At 47.8% G+C, this 19,998-nt stretch overlaps 1 protein-coding gene and 2 long non-coding RNA genes across 10 annotated transcripts in view, besides 5 other annotated features; 1 reads left to right on the forward strand and 2 right to left on the reverse strand.

Moving 5' to 3' along the window:
- ERCC6L2 (ERCC excision repair 6 like 2) overlaps positions 1–19,998 on the forward strand; it is a 165,402-nt gene that overhangs the window by 134,193 nt on the left and 11,211 nt on the right. For 5 of the 8 annotated variants that reach the window (NR_164677.1, NM_020207.7, XM_011518641.4 and 2 more), the window contains one exon: positions 2,342–8,564. The exons of 2 other annotated variants lie outside the window; for them this stretch is intronic. Coding sequence is in view for 5 of the 6 variants with exons in the window: in NM_020207.7 (NP_064592.3) it covers positions 2,342–3,320 (979 nt within the window). In the remaining variant the exon portion in view is untranslated. Of the gene's footprint in view, positions 1–2,341; positions 8,565–18,112; positions 18,347–19,998 lie in introns of those variants that run through there. One more of the 8 variants, NM_001375292.1, reaches the window with a different exon arrangement.
- Positions 9,849–11,928, reverse strand: LINC00092 (long intergenic non-protein coding RNA 92). Its single transcript, NR_024129.2, has 2 exons — positions 11,702–11,928; positions 9,849–11,398 (listed from the first exon to the last, which is right to left on the reverse strand). It is a non-coding gene; the product is annotated as a long intergenic non-protein coding RNA 92 (long non-coding RNA).
- Positions 11,108–11,157: a silencer, noted in NCBI's record as "silent region_20075". NCBI's record gives its function as "represses an Ori minimal core promoter by ATAC-STARR-seq in GM12878 lymphoblastoid cells {active_cell/tissue: GM12878}" and the evidence as "EXISTENCE:reporter gene assay evidence [ECO:0000049][PMID:35858748]".
- Positions 11,368–11,417: an enhancer, noted in NCBI's record as "active region_28648". NCBI's record gives its function as "activates an Ori minimal core promoter by ATAC-STARR-seq in GM12878 lymphoblastoid cells {active_cell/tissue: GM12878}" and the evidence as "EXISTENCE:reporter gene assay evidence [ECO:0000049][PMID:35858748]".
- Positions 12,850–13,350: an enhancer, noted in NCBI's record as "H3K4me1 hESC enhancer chr9:98785015-98785515 (GRCh37/hg19 assembly coordinates)". NCBI's record gives its function as "activates a minimal SCP1, AML or CMV promoter by ChIP-STARR-seq in primed H9 embryonic stem cells {active_cell/tissue: H9 hESC(primed)}" and the evidence as "EXISTENCE:reporter gene assay evidence [ECO:0000049][PMID:30033119]".
- On the reverse strand, positions 13,377–18,083 carry LOC105376159 (uncharacterized). Its single transcript, NR_188619.1, has 2 exons — positions 17,782–18,083; positions 13,377–16,111 (listed from the first exon to the last, which is right to left on the reverse strand). It is a non-coding gene; the product is annotated as an uncharacterized LOC105376159 (long non-coding RNA).
- Positions 16,322–16,381: an enhancer, noted in NCBI's record as "active region_28649". NCBI's record gives its function as "activates an Ori minimal core promoter by ATAC-STARR-seq in GM12878 lymphoblastoid cells {active_cell/tissue: GM12878}" and the evidence as "EXISTENCE:reporter gene assay evidence [ECO:0000049][PMID:35858748]".
- Positions 16,380–16,903: an enhancer, noted in NCBI's record as "H3K4me1 hESC enhancer chr9:98788545-98789068 (GRCh37/hg19 assembly coordinates)". NCBI's record gives its function as "activates a minimal SCP1, AML or CMV promoter by ChIP-STARR-seq in naive H9 embryonic stem cells {active_cell/tissue: H9 hESC(naive)}" and the evidence as "EXISTENCE:reporter gene assay evidence [ECO:0000049][PMID:30033119]".

The raw sequence follows: 19,998 nt of genomic DNA on the forward strand, positions 1-19,998 counted from the left end.
AGGTCGTGGTTTCAGCACAGCAGAGGTGAAGTTACTTTGGCAGTTGCTGAGACACCACCAAGCCTTGGATAAATAAAAGACATCAGCTTGTAACCTTGCCAATCACTTAATCTTTACAAACACAAATATTTAATAGAAGGGCCATGAAAATGGATTTGAAGATGAAAAATAGACAGAATAATATCTCATTACTTCATGTGAAGTGAAAACTGGAACCTCTTAAGAACATGCTTGTTACTTTCCAACAAGAACATTGGCAATTTCCAGGACAGAAAGTTGGAGTCATGTGTATGTGTTACTAAATATTCTGTTGGAGATGAAAGTGGCTGTTGATCAAGCATGTATAGTATCTGGATTTCGGGAAGTTAACAAGACAGTGTAGTGAGGACTAGAAGCCACAGGCCCATCTGAAGCCACAAAAGAAAGTTGTGAGTGTGCTTTATGGTCTGCCCCTAAAAGCAAAGGAAACACAAACTATGTAACCTGGTCTACGTGGCAGAAAGAAAAGTGGCATTGAAGCTCCTACTAACATACATTAAAAGTAATTTTTTTAATGCTAAGGATTCTCTGTTTTGCATAGGATAAAATTCAAACTTCTAAACTTGGCCTACGGACCCCCTATGATTTTTAGCCTCTTCCTTGCAGTTTCTCCTGCCCCTCTGTGAACCAGGTCATCTTGGACCTGAGCCTGTACATGCACCCTCTCCCCCTGGGAGACTTCCTCACTCATCATTACCTGACTGACTTGTCAGGAAGAGACACCCTTTCTATCCACCTTGCCTACCACCAATCACTGACCTAGGTTCCCTTTCTATGAATGCCAGTAGTGCCCCATATTTACCTCATGGTAAATTTACATTATGGGTTTATCACTCTATTCTACTTTGATTTTCATGCATTTGTCTAGCCCAAGTAAACTGTAAACTCCTTGAAGATAGGAAACGGAGTCTTATTTGCTGTTATATAGTTCCTGCTATAGTGCTTAGCACATAACAGGCTCTATAAATATTTGTTAAGTGAATAAATAAATGAATGTTTTAAGGAACTATGGTGTAAAATATAATTTCTAAAACTTTAGGACTTTTAATCAAGTGCTGCTGCACTCACTATCTATGACTTTTGTTCAAAGGAGTATTTATAAACATTGAGCTGTTCTATCTCATGGCCCAAACTCATCATCAGCAAAGCAATACCCATTGTCTTAGTCTGCTTGGATTGCCATAACAAAATACTATAGACTGGGTGGCTTAAACAACAGAAATTCGTGTCCACAGTTCTGGAGGCTGGATGGCCAACAACAAGAAGTTAGCTGATTCAGTTTCTGGTGAGGGCCCTCTTCCTGGCTGGCAGGTGGCCACCATCTCCCTGTATCCTTACATGGCAGAGAGGAAGAGACAGAAGAGAAAGAAACTGTGTGGGTTCTCTGGCATCTCTTCTAAGGACACTAATCCTGTTGGATCAGGGTCCCACCCGTATGACTTCATTTAACCTTAATTACCTCCTGAAGGCTCTAACTCCAAATACTGTTACGTCCTGGGTTAGGGGGCTTCTGCATGATTTGGGGGAGGGGCACAGTTTAGTCCATGGCACCCTCATTTAGGGAAAGGAGCAGGGCTCATTGCCCAGGTCCCTAAATCTTTCTGCCTCTATCTTACCAAGGTTCTTGAAGGCCCATTTCCTCATACATGCATACAACAGCTTTTATTAGTATCTTACACTAAGAATACAACACATTTCTTCTAATAGCATCTCACTCCTTAGCTTAGGTGTCCATGCCAACTGGGGAAAAAATAGTCTAGGTTTATCAGTTTAGAACTTTCCTTTGGGCTCATCAAAAAGTCTTGTGCGATTTCTATGTTGTATTTGTAAAAGAAGGGGAAAAGGAGAGGGAAGGGAAAAAAATGTCTTTCTTAATTTTTCAGAATTTGCTCTTTTCGTTAAGATTCTTTGACAATTTCATTTCATGAGACTTGAATACAATATAGATTTTCAAGTACAGAGTCTATAAATCATGATCCTCATGTCAGTCATAAATTGGCTCAAAGGAGGAGTAGCATGCTGGGCCTCCATAATTCCCAGGAAATACCTAATATAATAGCATAAATCAAAATAACTTACAAAGCTGGTGATTTTGTGAGCTAAAATACTTTTCTCAGTAGCATAAGGGTAGAGGCCTCACTCTACTAGGATAAAATGCGTTTTCATTGTGGAATTCAGCAGACGTATGCTAAAGGAACAAGATTACCTTCTGTGGACTCTACATTTCCTCTTACTGGTGATGAGTTCTTTCAAAATAAAATGTAATGAAAATAACCACTAGTTTTGTTCATTTAATCTTTAGAAAACAATTTGAAGAAATGGCCTCTTATTTTAACTCGTCTTCTGTAAACGAATTTGCTAAACATATAACCAATGCCACATCAGAAGAACGACAGAAAATGCTAAGAGACTTTTATGCTTCTCAATATCCAGAGGTAAAAGAATTTTTTGTGGATTCTGTGTCACAATTCAACAATTCTTCCTTTGAGAAAGGAGAGCAGCGCACCCGGAAGAAATCTGATAAAAGAGAATCTCTTATAAAACCAAGGCTGTCAGATTCTGAAACCTTGTCATTTAAAGATTCTACCAACAAAATTTCTCAAGTTTGCAGCCTAAAAACATATAAAAGAAAATCAGTTAAGTTTCAGAATCATATTTCCTATAGAGAAGAGGTGTTTTTTAATGATGCAGAAACTAAGAAATCACCTGTTAGTTCTACTCAAGAGATTGACAGTGGGAAAAACAGCCAGGCATCCGAAGATACTGTGACATCCCGTTCTCTGAACAGTGAGTCTGAAACACGTGAGAGAAGGTTAGAAAATACCATGAAAGACCAACAGGACCTCACAAGAACGGGCATTTCAAGAAAAGAACCCCTTCTCAAATTGGAAAACAAAAAGATAGAAAATCCAGTGCTGGAAAATACTTCTGTGATAAGCTTACTTGGTGATACCTCTATTCTTGATGACCTTTTTAAAAGTCATGGGAACAGTCCCACACAACTGCCAAAGAAAGTTCTTTCAGGGCCCATGGAAAAAGCAAAACAGAGACCAAAAGATTTCTGGGACATCTTGAATGAGCAGAATGATGAGAGTCTTAGTAAACTCACAGACTTGGCAGTAATAGAGACTCTGTGTGAAAAAGCACCTCTAGCAGCACCCTTTAAAAGGAGAGAAGAGCCAGCAACTTCTCTTTGGAAATCAAATGAGAAATTTTTATGGAAGAAATTTAGCCCAAGTGATACAGATGAAAACGCAACCAATACACAGAGTACCACATAAGCATATAAATGAATTACTGCACCAGTAAACTGCTGCCATCACTGTTTACGGCACTGGATTCCACACTGATTCTATTATCTTGAACACAGTTGTTGACATATATTTTTATTAAATTATTGCTTTAGGATTTTTTGAAGTCTAAAGTATTGTCATGGATCTGTTTTTCTTGATATTTGATTTGATCTTTCAAGAATATGATTGTATTTATAGTATAAACCTCTGTTATGAATTAGAAAAGATTCTAGGTTTGTTAATAGGAGACCTGGGACATCTTTCTTACTATATTACATAATGATGTGACACTTGCCCCGGTGAGCATTGTTTCCCAGTATGAAAGATGAAGAGTCTGTACCGAATCAGCATGAGTGTCCTTCCAGTTTAAAAAAGCTTTGCTTCGCTCTCCTAATGGCTCATAGGCTGAATCATGTCTGCCCCTCAAATCAGGTGTATACCAATGTGTTTTTTACTAGCACTTGGGAAAGTTATTAAGTATTTTCTTTTTCCCTGGGCATCATGTTCTATTATTATTTTAGAAAAAAGTCATAATTGGTACTGAATATATGGTATATATAATATTAAAATGGTAATTTTGCAACAGCTCAAAATTAAAAGGTTAATGTTATACACTTTACTATATGAGCTGTGATTACTACCATTAGCCACAGATACCAGTGCCTCAACTTTTTATGTACCTATTGTGATTTAATGTAAATAAAGGTTTGTATAGTACTTTTGTAGTTCTTAAGTATGAAGAAATGGGTAAACTTTTTATTTTGTTAGAAACTGTTATATTTTGAGTGTAATATTTATGGTTTATAGCAAAATGAATGTGCTTATTGTTGAATGCATGTATTTAGAAGCCTTTACTCAGCCCCTGTGTTCTGTGCTAGGAGCTTGAGCTCTACAGGTAAGGCAGAGCTACCGGTGAATGAAAGGAAATCATGTCAGTGAAAAATCATGGTGGAAAGCCCCTGGCATCACATGTGCATGCTGTAGGCAGGACCTGAGCTGCCTCCGCTGCAGGTTCAGATGCACCGCTGCAGCTGTCCTTCAGTTAGTTCACAGGGCTGCAAGAGGAGGACACATCCCTCCAGAAAACAGCCTGAGCCGGGAACTGGCTGTGCTAAAGAGCACTGCTATCAAGTTGAGGAGAGAGGGCTTCCGTGTACTCAGGATGTAGAGTCATTGCTCAGAAGTGAACAAAAAATCAAAAACAAAAGTCTTCTCAAGGGACTGATCGGCCAAGTATGCTTTTCTTTAGAGCAATGTTTTGCCCTAGAGAATTGTAAAATTTATGTCATGACTCAGTACATATGTGTTCGTACATATATGATTGGAATAAAATGTTTATGAAATATTTACTCATAAGCCATGTAACATACTTTGACATTTTTCTCTTCTAGGATTGTGTTTGGTAGGGCAGTGGGTTTGTGTGTGTGTTAATCCTCTCACAACCCACTGAATTGAATTTCATGGCCCATGGTTAAGATCCACAGTGTGAAAACGCTGTTTTAAATTATATGAGTTCGTCATTTGTTTGCTCTGTGCAGCTGAGTTGTGTCCAGACTTACCAGATGGTATGTTTTGCCATTGAGGGGCCTTCTACACAATGAGTGCATGATATGGTCCTTGATAGACTTGACTTGTAGATGTTTTCAGCCTACAATGTGATCAGCTATCTGAGGAACTCCAGTAAGTAGATACCACTTCATTTCAGTTTATATACAAGACAATGTAGTTCAAACATTTTAATACCTTGTAAATTATGATATTCATATAAATATTAGCTCTATAGTCTTCATATATGTACAGTTTTTTTTTTTTTTTTTTTTTTTTTGAGATTGAGTCTCACTCTGTCACCCAGGCTGGAGTACAGTGGCATGATCTTGGCTCACTGCAACCTCCACCTCCCTCCCAAACAACTCTTATGCCTCAGCCTCCTGAGTAGCTAGGATTACAGGTGTGTACCACCACACTCAGCTAAACATTTTTTTTTTTTTTTGAGACGGAGTCTCACTCTGTCGCCAGGCTGGAGTGCAGTGGCTCGATCTTGGCTCACTGCAGCCTCCGCCCCCCGAGTCAAGCAATTCTCCTGCCTCAGCCTCCCGAGTAGCTGGGACTACAGGTGCGTGCCACCACGCCCAGCTAATTTTTTTGTGTTTTTAGTAGGGATGGGGTTTCACCATGTTGGCCAGGCTGGTCTCAATCTCCTGGCTGCAAGCGATCCACCTGCCTTGTCCTCCCAAAGTGCTGGGATTACAGGTGTGAGCCACCATGCCCAGCCAATAAATGCTATTAAAGAAACTTTTAGGCCGGGCACAGTGGCTCACGCCTGTAATCCCAGCACTTTGGGAGGCCGAGGCAGGCGGATCACAAGGTCATGAGATCGAGACTATCCTGGCTAACGCGGTGAAACCCCGTCTCTACTAAAAAAAAAAAAAATACAAAAATTAGCCAGGCGTGGTGGTGGGCGCCTGTAGTCCCAGCTACTCGGGAGGCTGAGGCAGGAGAATGGCGTGAACCTGGGAGGCAGAGCTTGCAGTGAGCCAGGATTGTGCCCCTGCACCCCAGCCTGGGTGACAGAGCAAGACTCCATCTCAAAAAAGGAAACTTTTATCAATAGTAGTCAAAATGGGAGCAAAAATGCAGAACTGGAGTTTAAAAATTAGTTTCCAACAGTTGTCAGTGAAATATTTATCACTATTATGTAGGAAAGTGTGTCAGGTGGAATGCAGAGTCCAGTATGAAAAGGAGCCTGTTTCAGAACGGAAACTGTCAGGTGGAGTGGACTCCCTGCAATGGAGTGATGGAAAGATTTGGTACAACCATTGATGACCTGAGAACAGACACTAGGAAGGTTTGACAAGATCCTTCCTACCCCCACTCCACTGGTGATGTGTCACCAAGTTCTGCTAACTAAATGGGTGGCCTCAAGCAAATCCCTTACCTCCTTTTAGCCTTAGTTTCCCCTTTAAATTGGTGATGGATTAGATCAGTGGTGGTCAGCCATTTTCTTAAAGCAACTGAACTGTATCTTAATCAGAAACTTAACTAGTAAAACAATTAAAATGCAAGTCTGTTGCTTCAAGCAACACCACTGTGGCTCCATGGAGCACTAATTTGAAAACCACAGAGATGAGATCATTTCTAAGAAAACCTTTCAACTTTGTTTCCATGATGCTACTTGCCACAATCTTTTTTACTTAAGCAATGATACCGTTTCTGGCTGAACACTCACCACACAGCTATTAATATTGGAAACTGAGGCAAGATACCAAGAGATTTTTGCACTTGAATTCCTCAGGGTTCTCTTACAGCCCTGAAAACACCTCTTCAAGGAAATAAATAACATCTGCAAATGGTGCAGCTGCCCCTAAGTATTCAAGGCAAAGAAGCCTTAGTTTGCAGAGATGATGATAAACTTTTCATCCTTCCACAGAAAATGAGAAAGCCACAGGAAATACACGGTTATTTTCTAATTAAAGTTCAATGTGTACGCTTTTAAATTCTGAAGTTATCCTTCTTTTATGATATCAAAATAGCCCTCTTTTTTGAAATGATGGTAGATCATACCTTTTGGTCTTTTTCATTGTCCTTACATAAAAGTTGGTAATCATATGTCAGTCCCAGAAGTTTTATTTGACACTTACTGGTCTATAAAATCCAAAGGAATGGGGATCACTGCCTGCCTTAAAGGTTTTTTTGTGTGTTTGTTTGTTTGTTTGTTTGCATGTGAAGGATTTTTATGTCACAAATCCAGCTAACAGTGGATCTAGGATCTAGGCCTCACCGAGGATGTCACTGAACCTGTCAGCCCCAATGACAGGCACACACCTTCAAAGAGCAAGAGTGCCCATCACTTTCTAGGCTCCTTGCCTGCTGCTCATTCCATCATCACGGATACAGACTTGTTTCTGGTTTCATCTTCCACCAGAGATTGCAAAGCATCCTCTGCCCAGTGCTTCTAGGAGGCCTTACTGGGATGGTTCATAAGCCACTTTCCTCTTGGTGACAGCCCCTGTACACTGTGGCATGTACGGCTGGCTCCACTTGGTATTTGTTGCAGGAGGGAAGAACATCTCACTTTTGCTTGGCTAAAGGGCCACCCCAGGAGAGCTATTTTGCCTCAGGGTCTTGCAGGGTTTCTCTAGGAAAACAGTGCATCTGATAGTTACTCTCTGCCCCTAGGAGGAAAGACAGATTCGCCCTTCCTTCCCAAGTCCCAGGCTGTGTGGTTCCCAGCCCCAAGGGTAGCAAGTCAGAACCTCCGGAGAGGCTTTTAAGCATGCACATGTCCAGGGTCCTCATCAAGAGACTGAATCAGGGGGTCTAGGGCTCAGCACAGGCACCCTTTTTGTTTTTGCAGTTTCACAGGAATTCTGATGTGCCAGTGATTGTCAGGTTTGTCCCTGGGCAGGACCCACCTGCCTGACCTTCTGTCCCCCTGGGACACAGTATTTCCAGAGAGGTGCTTCAGTTGCCCCACCACGACTTCCAGCGCCCCCCATCTCTGTATGCAGCTGAGCTCATGATGGAGCCCACTGTGTGCTTTTTGTTGTTGTTACATTCCTATAAAAATGTCCACGCATATTTGAACATCTGTGTTCATAGTGGCATTATTCACAATGGCTACAACACGAAGAAAGCATTCCAAGTACCTATCGATGAATAAGCAAAATATTACACACACAGGAATATTATTCAGCCTTGAAAGGAAATTCGGACACGTGCTACAACATAGATGAATCTTGAGGACGGTATGCAAAGTGAAATAAATCAGACACAGAAGGACAAATACTGTATGATTCCACTTATATAAAGTACCTAGATTAGTCAGATTCATAGAGACAAAGTAGAATGGTGGTTGCTAGACGCTGGAGGGAGGGGAGAAAGGGGAGTTATTAATGGGTGTAGAGTTTCTGTTACACAGGATGCAAAGTGGCCTGAAGATGGATGGTCGTGATGGTTGCACAGCAATGTGAATTTAATGACACTGAAGTGTACACTTAAAAGTCATTAAAATGCTAAATTTTGTATGTGTTTTACAATTTTAAAAATGGAAAAAAAGTAAGACCAAAAGCAACACCTCTCCAGAATGTGTGTTATATACCAAATTTTGATGTATGTGAGATTGCTGACTATATTTTACTTATCAATTTGAAATTATATTGTTTTTATGTTGACACTCCATATAAGCCATTATTTTGAAAAAAACATTTTCCTTATTAAAAGATTGGAAAAAAATTCACACATAGCATTGTTTTTCTTTTTTTGTAAGACAGAGTCTCACTCTGTCACCTAGGTTGGAGTGCAATGGCGCAATCATAGCTCACTGCAGCCTCGACCTCCCAGGATCAAGGGATCTTCCCACCTCAGCCTCCCAAGTAGCTGGGACCACAGATGTGCACCACCCTGCCCGGCTAATTTTTGCATTTTTTTTTTTTTTTTTAGAGACAGGGTTTCGCCATGTTGCCCAGGTCTGGTCTCGAACTTCTGGACTCAAGCAATCTGCCTGCCTTTGCCTGCATTGTTTTTCTATTATATTTCATGTATTTTATTTGCTTTGCTGCAGGTTAAACTATGATGTTTATATTTATTGCCTAAGTTTCCATTAAGACCAATCTTAATTATACCAACATGATACCTTTCTGCCATGGACAGAGATAATACTCATCTGACATTCTTGGTTTTTTGCTGCTCTGTCTTGTAGATAAGAATCAAGAATGCTTCTTTCTACAGATATCTTTTTCGTTAGCTAAATAGGCCTCGCAGTCTCGTTGAAAGAAATAACTAAAACTCACTTTATGTTGTTTCAGTTTATCTGGCAGGGGGAAAAATGCGTGTGCAGCTCTGAATTTCTAATACGTCTCTAAGGAAACTCCAATGAGTTGTCTTGTCAGACTAAAATGTCTGGCAACTAAAATTATTGGCCTCCCTACATTTTTTAACTTTGAATTTTCTTAATTTTTTTGTAAAGTGGGATATGTTTCTGAACTGAAAGAAACTTCAAAAGAAGCCTCATAATAGCTAATTCATATTTTCTCTTCTTTCCTAAAACTATTATAAAAGCACTAATGGGAACAAAACAATTATTTTTCAAAATATAAATGCCAGGATGCACCATATGAGAAGCCCCCAGCCCCCTCTGCTTGCCTCCCAGCACCCGCATTGTGCTCCAGTGTTCAGCTTTCTCTTCCTCTCCGTCCACCACTCCCTGCCCTCTCTTCCCACTGCCAGTACCTAAGTGGCCTTCCTTCACCTGTGCCTGGCAAAGCCCTAGGTTCCTTCCATGTCACCCCTGACTCCTGAATCGACAGCTCCCTCTCTCAGCTTCCTGCTCACCAAGCTCAATGGAGCCTCAATGACCTGCCCACTGTTGCCTGAGGCAGCACTCTCACTGTCCCAAGACCCCATCACACCTTCACCTTGCTGGGACCTCCTAACTCCCTCAGCTTCCCCTACTCCACATTGGGGGTGTATCAGTCCATTCTCACGCTGCTATGAAGAAATACCCGAGAAATACCTGGGTTAATTTATAAAGCAGTTTAATTGGCTCACAGTTCCTTATAGCTGGGGAGGCCTCAGGAAGCTTACAATCATGGAGGCAGTTCACGTGAAGGGGGAAGAAAGGCACCTTTCTCACAGGGTGGTGAGAGAGAGGAAGGGGGACGGGGAAAGCCCTTTATAAAAGCATCAGATCGGCTGGGCACAGTGGCTCACGCGTGTAATCCCAGCACTTTGGGAGGCCGAGGCAGGCAGATCACAAGGTCAGGAGTTCCAGACCAGCCTAACCAACATGGTGAAACCCTTTCTCTACTAAAAATACACATTAGCCGGGCGTGATGGCGCGCACCTGTAATCCCAGCTACTCGGGAGGCTGAGGCAGGAGAATCTCTTGAACCCGGGAGGCAGAGGTTGCAGTGAACCAAGATCGCGCCACTGCACTCCAGCCTGAGTGACAGAGTGATACTCCGTTAAAAAAAAAAATCTTGTGAACTCACTGTCACGAGAGCAGCGTTCAGGAAACCACCTCCATGATTCAATTACCTCCACCTGGTCCCGCCCATGACACGTGGGGATTATTAAAATTCAAGGTGAGATTTGGGTGGGGAAACAGAGCCAAACCATATCAGGGGGCCAGGCCTTCAGCAGGTGGATAAGATGGGAGGAGTTCTGAAATACACACCCGGGATGCTCCAGAGGCCAAATCATAGGGCAGGTCATCCCAAGGACAGCAGTTAATTCACTGACATGCCAGCAAAGGGCAAACCGAATCGGCCCCGCGGAGCCCAGGTAGGGGCGCCGCTCACCTCCTAAAATGCCCTCAAAGACCCCTTAGGGCACAGCCATATGCTGAGACATGTTGGGGTGGACAAGCAGGTCTCAAGAAGCTTAGAATGTCCCCTAGGTGGACGCTAAGGGACAAGGCCCACCGAGGAAGGCAGCTGCAGATGATGGAATGCCCTCCCAATGGCGGGAACAAGCAAGGCTTCCGCAGCTCAAAAGGAGAAACATGCTTTGCGCTGGAGTCCTCAGAAAAGGCCACTTCCAAACTGTGGGGATGGGGAGTGGACGGGCCTAAGAGAATGGGAAGGCAGAACACCCCTTCTCCAGTCTCCCTTGGCCGTTAAAACCCCAGAGCAGCAGCAACGTGGGCTGTTTGGTGCGGAGGTTCCTGGTTTGGGTTGGCCAGGCGTAGAGTGCTTCCGACAATTCACCCACCCTCCAAGACGCGCGGGCCGGGGAGCGGGGAGAGGGCGGAGGGAACGGCGCACCGGGCCCCGTCGGACTGTTGGACCAAAAGTCCTCAGTGTCGGGGGCTCGCAGCGCCGCCGCGGCGAACCCAGCTAGGGGGCACCGCCTGCGCCGGGCACAGGGAGGCCGTTCGGCTTTCCCCCTCGCGCCCATTACTCTCAGGCGTCCCGGGGAACCCCGCGGGCCAAGTGTCGGGCTGCGTCCGGGCAGAGGCGGCTTCGCCTGGTGTCAGCGCGTTTCCGAAGGGCACCCGCGGCGGGGCCCACAACTCGAGCTGGGAGCCGCCCCAAGCAACCCGTTCCTCCGAATCAGGCTGCTTTTCTCTGTAAAGAAAAGAGAAAGCAAGCGATTAACTGATGGCTTGGCCGGCTGGAAACGGGAAAGCGAGTTCTCCAGGAGCCGCACACCTCGGGGAAGCCCAGTCCCTCCCGGGCAGGGAGCGAGGGGCGGTCCTGGGGGCTGCTTCCCGCGGGGAGAGAAGGGAGGGCGGCGCAGCCCTCTGCGGGGTCCGCCCCTCGGTTCTCCGGACCCCCGCGGCCTGGGGGACACGGGGCAAATTCTCGGATAGCGACGGGCAGGAAGGGGACCCGGGCTGGCGATGGGCCGAGTGCCTCCTTTGCTCTCACCCCCGCGCGAAGACGAGGCCAGTGGGCGGGTGGCGTGGGGCGAGGCCTCCGCAGGCCGCCGGGGGCCCAGGCACCTGGAGCCGGGAGGGTCCGCTCCCTTCCCCGCCCTGGATGGCGGCCTATGGGAAAGCAGTCTCCACTGGATCCCGCGCGCGTCGCGCCGAGGTCGTGGGAAACCGAGGGCGGGAGGGCGGGAGGGCGGAGGCGCCGGCAGGGTCGGCGGGACTGGGGCTCGGACGGAGGACAGGGGCGAGGAGGAGGCAGGAAGGACGCCGGGTACTGCGGGGCGCCTAGGGGGTTCCGAGCGCAGCGGCTGCGGGGCCGACCCGCCCAGGATGGAATCAGGGCCCCGGCGCCCCCACGCCGCTCCTCCAGGCCGAACCCCTGCGGCCCCAATCCCCCGGCCTCACGCCCACCCCGCAGGTCGGCCCTGCAGCTGCCTTCCCTTCCTCCACCTCCCTCCCGCCTCCGAAGCCGGCGCCCCCGGCCAAGTGGCCGCTCTCAACCTGTTACCAAGTCCTAGAGAGAATTTCTCCAAAATATTTCCTGGATCCCCCTGCCAAGGGCCCTGTCCCGCCCTTCCAGCTCCCAACTGGATGCCTGCAGACCTCTCCCCGGGTTCCGAGGCTCTGGCCTCCTCCCTCCCTAATCCATTTTCCACACCGCTTCCCCGGGAGCCCGTTAAAATACACCGGGACCGCGGCGGGTGCAAGCCTCCTGTATCTCCACATAGCAGGCTAAGGGGAATTGGGTAGGGAATAAAGGCTGCAGGGGACATCGGCTGGCAGGTATGAAGCCCGTATTGTGTGTCGTTTGTTAAACACTTCCAGTGGATTTTCTCGTTTAATCTGCCCAACAACGCTTCTGGGCCGGTATTCGTATTGTTTTATAGAGGGAGAAACTGAGGCACAGAGGGGCACTCGGCTTGTAAGCAACGGAGTAATTCAGAGCCCGTCAGCCCCACGCCGAGTTTATTCACCCTGGCAGGGGCTTCCGCGGGAGCCATGACCCTTCCTAACTGGGGTGGAAGGACCCGCAGCGCCAGCCGGGTCCGGGCCAGACGGCAGCGAGTGTCTGTTAATAGGGATGCTGAATGGGTCAGGCAGTGGGGCACAGGTTCAGTGTGATCTGGAATGCCTGCGAGGCCCCCTTGCTCATCCACCTGCCTTTAATGGATGGGTGGTCTGAGTTTCTGGAGATGGGCAAGATGGAGCAGTCTCCACACTTGGCTCTTCAGCCCCGGCGCCCCCCACAGCCGCCTCTGCTTTCCTGGAGATACCGCAGGCTCCTAACCTCAGGCCGGCTTGTGCTGCTCCACCCTCTCCCTCCCCCACAGACACAGGCCACTTAGCGCGCTCTCCCGTCCCTCACCCCTGCCAACAGCAGCCACTTCTGGCCACTTCCTTTACATGTGAATGAGTCCAGGTCTGGGCTGCCTTTGTCCGGGGAGGCCGGTGGGATTTCCATCAATAATTGTTGGTTGGTGAGTCAGGGGTCAGCAGTGGTCTCCTTTCCAGGACCCAGAAATGACACCACAAGGGTAACTGGCCACTATTTCCTGCCTAGGAACTAGCAGCATCCCACCCCCACCACTCCATGGCCTAGATAAGACAGGCCAAGACCCCAGAGACAACAGGACTCTGGAACAGGGAAGGGATTTATGATTAGCATAGGCTCTAGTTAAATTCCTTTTTTTATTTCTGTGCATTGACCTATTATGTAATATGCTTTTTTCTTCCTGGAATACAGATCCTACCAGTGGTTTTATTCCTTTTTTATATAATGTTTAATTCATCTGTCTCTGTAAATCCATCACATGAAATTGAAAGGGTCTCAAAGAGCAGACTGTTTCCCCCCTAACTCTTCCACTATTCAACCCAGGGGCAAGCACTGTCATCCCTCACTGCTACCAGCTTCTGGTCAGTCTTTCTGGCCACACGTATGTAGACATGCTTCATTCTTTTAACTGTGTTTTTGATGTTTTCTATATTAACACCAAAAAAAAGTACACTAAGAAATCAGTGCTATTTCCGAATGGAGCCCGGAGTTTCTCAGCACTGCGCTCCTCCAGTGCCAGAAGCACCCTACTTCTCTTCCTCAGTTGCTTCATCAATCACATGGGGCTGGGGCAGTGAGGAGGATGTATTTGCCTCACATAGAGACTTAAAGGTTTTCCTGATCTCCTCTGGGTACAGAACAAGAAATTAAGGATGATCTGAAATATACAGGGCTTGGATAAGACTTGAAACAATTGTGATGATAGGAATTGCTGGGTTCTGGAACCGAGGATTGCAGTAACCAGGGGCTCAGAAAGCTGAGATATCCCTCCAGTGAAAGGGGACCCGGGAGCATAACTGAACAAAAGTCATTTCTCTTCCTCATGATGGGTATTTCTCTTTTTCTGGTGAGAAGTGTCAGTATCAGCATTTATCTGCTGGAGACTGTTTAAATGTTAGGTGTACTTAGCAACGTTGCATCTATTTTTCTTAAACACGAATCACTTTCCAGAAGGGAACCGAAATGACCACCTCTAAAAGTTGCTACTAACTATTGCTCCAGAAACCAAAGTGATGCCACTCACATGGCTGGCCATAGTCTAATTTCTTCACAAACAGAGGCAGAGCAGCTTGCACCACGTAACCCCAAAGCTTTTCTGTAACTGATCAGAAGTTCCTTTCTCCACCCTTTAGCAGAGGTGCTGGTGACCAGGGAAGAGGAGAAGGTAAAGAGCAGAGTGAATGAAGGGAAGTAGGGGACATAGATTCTTTAAAGTCTGGGTAATCAATCCCAATGTATTCAAGAGAGACCTCAACTTGCTTTCCTAGATGGGACGTGGTGGCCCACGGCATCCATAGCAAACCACTCTCTTCTTGGATAGTTGGCTCCCAGACTTGAAGGCTGTGCTCCTTGCTGTCCTCGGACCTCTCCAGCGGTCTCTTTCTAGTTTCCTTGGTGGGCTCCGCCTCCTCCTCCTCACCTTGTCCCTTGGATTTCCCAGGGAGCTATCCCCAATCTAGGGTTAGTCTCATGCACCCACCATATTCTAGGGGCCCCTCCACTCACTCTCATGCTTTTAATGAATTCATTTATGGGTGATCAGGAATCTTCACCATAGCCCAATCACCCTTCTGAGTTTCAGGTGCACACCCTGTTGCTTTGGTGTGACTGCTTCCCGTTGGGTTATCCTTGGGCACCTCACACTCATTGTGTCCAAAGCAGAATTCTTCATCCTCAACTCTGCACTCATCCTATATTTGAGACTCCTAACTCAGTTAATCGCATTGCTTCAGTCATTGACCTCATAACCCAAATCTCAGCACCATCTTTTTTTATTTGGTTGGATGCTTCCATTCCTCTCAGCCACTGTATTCACTCAGTAACCAAGACTTCCAGAGTTGACCTCATAAATATTTCCTTAACTCTGATGCCTTCTTTCCAGTTTCCTACCAGTGTCCTAGTTCCTGAACCACTGGAATAGCTTCAAGTCTTTCACTTCTTAGGTCTTCTAGAGAAATTTGTCATATCTAGTAGAACTCTTTTGTTGAAAATGACGCAGACTGGTTTAAGCAAAAAAGCAAAATCATGGATGTCAGGCTGGTTTCAGGTGTGGCGTGGTGTCGAAGCTCAAGGGACACCACCCACACCCTGTGTCACCAGCTCACCACTCAGGTCTGCTCTCTGTCACTCTGGTGGGCTTCATTCTCAGGCTGCATCATGGGAGTGCAGTAGCAGCAGAAGGTCCAGCTCGCCTGGTGCTTCCAGTGTCAAGTTCTATAGGAAGGAGGCAGGCCTGAGGCCAGATGGCAGCGAGTTTCTGTTAACAGTGACACTGAGTGGGTCAGGCGGTGGGGCTCAGGTTCAGTGTGATCCGGAATGCCTCCGAGGCCCCCTTGCTCATCCACCTGCCTTTAGTAGATGGGTGGTCTGAGTTTCTGGAGATGACTAGGAGTAGCAGGAAGGGACACTGAGCTACACAACACATCCAAAGCCCACCACACATCAGACCCAAGGATTCCCCTGCATAAAATTCCCCAAGGCAAATTTTGCCCATTGAAGTTTTGTCAAGATGATTTGATTCTTCTGTTGAAATGCAGTATTAATCATTGTTGAACTTTTTCATTTTGTTTGCATTGATATTTCCACCAGTAATCTTCAATAAGAATAGAATTTTAGAACTGATCATTTGGGTCTACTCTTCAACTTGCAAGGAACTGTGCGCGGTGTTAAGACCATGCCTCTGAGATCACTGGAGAGACAGATGGAGAAGTGGAGGATTTGTATTTAGAGTCTAGTCAGGGAAACACACCTCCCCCCTCAGATAGAGAGAATCTCCTGTTGTTGGTCGATATTGGAGGATTGAGTGGCAAGCCAAGATTCAGATATGGTGACTGATAGAAGCAGTGAAGGTCTCTAAAGAGCAAAGAGAAGTCATGAGGGTTCTGAGAACCGAGGTCCTGGAAGCTGGAGAAGGGGCCCTGGGGAGTGGAACCGGACCTCTGCACTTGCCTGGCCCTGGGGCCTCCCAGAGAGCTGGACTCAAATCTCCGAGATGGACCAGCCGGCCCGGGCGGGATGTGGGCAGGCAGGTCCTGGGAGTGCATGAAGCAAGCTAGAAAACTGGGCATGACCGCGCCACCGTTGGGAGTCCGGGGGGTTATTGGGGCTCTGCTGACGGGAACAGGCTCCTGTCCTGCGATCTGCGGCCACCACGCCGCCCTCTGGGGCCCCCTGTTGGCAGAACCTGGCGGGAGCTCGCTGGCCCGCAGAAGGCTCAGGGCCTGGTAGCCAGGGCGCGGATCCCAGGAGGTGGATTCGGAACTCAGTGAGCCCCGGAGCGCCGCAGTGGGGCGGGGGTGGGGGAAGCGCGGGGAAGCGCGGAGTCTCTGGGTCAGCTGGTCCCCACTGCCAACGCCCACAGGCCAGGCGGCTTCCGCAGCATCTGCTCCACACCCCATGCGGAGCAGGGGCTTGTTGTTTCTGCACACGCCCACCGCATACACACCGCACCACACACACAAACACACTACACACACCACACTATACACACCACACACACAAACACACCACACACAAACACACCACACACAGCACACCACACACACCACACTACACACAAACGCCACACACACCCCACACACCAAACACACCACACCACACACACAGCCCACACACACTACAAACACACCACACACAAACACCACACACACCCCACACACATACCACAACACACACCAAACTCACCACACGCACCAAACACGCCCCACACCACACAAACACACCACACAGACCCCACACACCACACATACCACAACACACACTACACCAAACACACCACACGCACACACCCCACACATACAACACACTACACCAAACACACCACACCGCACAAACACACCACACACACACCACACTACACACACACACTACACACACCACATACCCCACACACATACCCACCACCCCACACACTACACACACCACACACACCACATACCCCACACACATACCCACCACCCCACACACTACACACACCACACACACCACACACAACACACTACACACACCCCACATGCACCACACCACACACACACACACCACACACCACACATCACACCACAGCCACACCACACCCCCGCCTCCAACACCCACCTCTTGCGCCCCCCTCCCGCCTCCTGTGTGGTGTGTGCTCTAGTTCCCGGCAAAGCAGGTGGGAGACGGAGTGACCGGCAGGACAGGCTGCCTGGGGAACCGGGAAGGCTGAAGTGGACACAGGAGGAGCTGGCAGGGAGAGCCCAGGCCCCGCGGGCTGCGGGAAAGGAGAGGGCAGCGACTGGGCGAGGGAGGAAAGACCCTGGCCGGGGCAGCCCGGCGCGGGAGAGGCTGCGTGTGCCCGGCTCAGTCACCCGCCCTGGGAGAAGGCGGCCCGGTTGGAAAGTTGAGGCGGAACCGAAGGCCCCCGCGTGGAGGCTGCAGCCCCTGCGCCGGCCGGGCGGGTCCGGAAGGAGCCCAGGCCGCACCTCCAGGCCGGCGCCGCCGCCGCCCAGCGCCCACCCGTCCCCCCGGCGCCACTCCACATGCACCTTCTCCCGGGGCGCCGACGGCCTCGGCTGCCCCCGCAGCGTTTCCCTAGCTTCCCTCCAAGGCCCCCGGCCGCTCTTTCTCAGCATTCTTCGCAGCTTCATCTCCATCCGCGCCGCCTTGCCGAGACCCTCCAAGCCGACTCCTCAGCCTTCTACTGAATCTCCTCCAGGCTAGCTCCCAGGGGCGCCTGTCCAGGCCCGGGACTTACATTCCCAGTCCTCATGCAGAGCCCCGTCCCCGCACCGAGGCAGCAGAGCTGGGAGCGCGATGCAGTTCTCTGCGAGAGCCTAGGTCTGACTCTAACTCTGCCCTGGATTCTCCGCTTTCTAGGAGCGCGTGACATCGGCGGCCAGTTCCGTCATCTGGGCATCCCACCCATACCACCCAGCCCTGGGAACGGATGCGACAGTGGACCCGAGGGCACCCTGCAAACTGTAACTCTCACACTTGCCAGACGGCGCTTCCTGAAGGGTCACACACTGAGCATCTGTTTTCAGAGTTTCCTATTTTCCAGAAAAAAAAAAAAGTCCCTATCTGTGCATTAAAAATGCAGGCCAAAACGTATTTTCCACTTCTCCCCTCTGTTCACTTGGCTTTGGCTTAGCATTTTCCCAAGCTGTGTTTCTTGGAGCACGAGTGCCCTTCAGATATGAGTAGATGCCCCATGAGAAAAGCCAAGTTCAGGAATATCCCTTCCTTGAGATTAGAGTGTGCCCTCTCCTGTGAAAGGTCCTGAGAAGTGTAACCTTTTTAAACCACTTTTCCAACTGAATGAGCCACAGGTCTTGTTTTCCTCCATGGCACACTCTAAAATTCCTGGGGACCACTAGGGTCCCACGCAACAGAGGTAGGAACCCTGCTCTAGGCAAGTCGAGCCACTTGCCCTTCTGTCTCAGAGAGGTTGTCCTCGAGTTCTTGCCACCAGGGTCCCCTAGTAAGGGCGTCCCTAATAAAGCCTGGCTGTTCCCCTTTTCCTTCTATTCTATGAGCTAGGCAGAATGGTTCTGGCAAACCCATCTTTCTGAGTCAGGTTGTCCAGAGGAAGTTCTGTTTCTTGCAACTAAAAGACTGACACAGACCAGCAGGCAAAAAGTCAGTGAAGGGATTACCATTCCAAACTAGAAATTTCCCACGTTCACCTTAGCATTGGAATGGATAAGTATACGTCATATACATTGTGTGATATATTCACACATACTGCACAGCAACAAAAATAAACTATCTTCAACCTTAGGCAATAATGTGGGTGAATTTCCAAATACAATTTGAACACAATGAGCTAGACACAATTTGAATTCATTCATAAGAAGGGAAAAGCCAGCAAAACTAACCTATGTTGTTAGAAGTTAGGATGGGGGACTGGGCGCGGTGGCTCAGGCCTGTAATCCCAGCACTTTGGGAGGTCAAGGTGGGCGGATCACAAGGTCAGGAGATCGAGACCATCCTGGCTAACATGGTGAAACCCCGTCTCTACTAAAAATACAAAAAATTAGCCGGGCGTGGTGGCACGTGACTGTAATCCCAGCTACTCGGGAGGCTAAGGTAGGAGAATTGCTTGAACCCAGGAGGCGGAGGTTGCAGTGAGCTGAGATCGCGCCACTGCACTCCAGCCTGGGTGACAGAGCAAGACTCCGTCTCAAAAAAAAAAAAAAAAAAAACAAAAAAAAAATTAGGATGGTACAGTTAGGATAAGTTAGTTAGGATAAGACGTTAGGATACAGGTGAAAAGGAGGGAATACAAGAAGGCTTCCAGCTGCCCTTACCACACTGTTCTTGGTCTGCGTGCTGGTTTCCTGGATGTGTCCAGTTTGTGAACATTCATGAGCTCTAACCTTAGGATAGATGTGATTTTCTGAATGTATGTTGTACTCCAACAAAAAGTTTCGGAGGTGGGTATCAGAAAAGATTGTTTCCCCACTGAGGGATTCCTTTTGCAAAACCACGCAAAGGAAACGTGTTGATTTCAGGACCAATAGAAATTGAATGATACACCAAGTCGTCTTAGCTTACTTCACGTCTGTTTGGTTCTCATATTTATCTAAACATCTGCACGCACAATCTTTACATTGCCACACATGTCAAACAGTCATTCTGTATTGATCATGGGTTTTTTGTTTGTTTGTTTGTTTTCTACTGATTTTATGCTGCTTCATCCTTGGGGCCTTGTGGTCTTAGGAAGGAACTGCCCCTCCCAGGGTTAGCTGAGTCCTCCAGAG

Source organism: Homo sapiens, chromosome 9 (assembly GCF_000001405.40).
Source record: "Homo sapiens chromosome 9, GRCh38.p14 Primary Assembly".
NCBI classification, from domain to species: domain Eukaryota; kingdom Metazoa; phylum Chordata; class Mammalia; order Primates; family Hominidae; genus Homo; species Homo sapiens.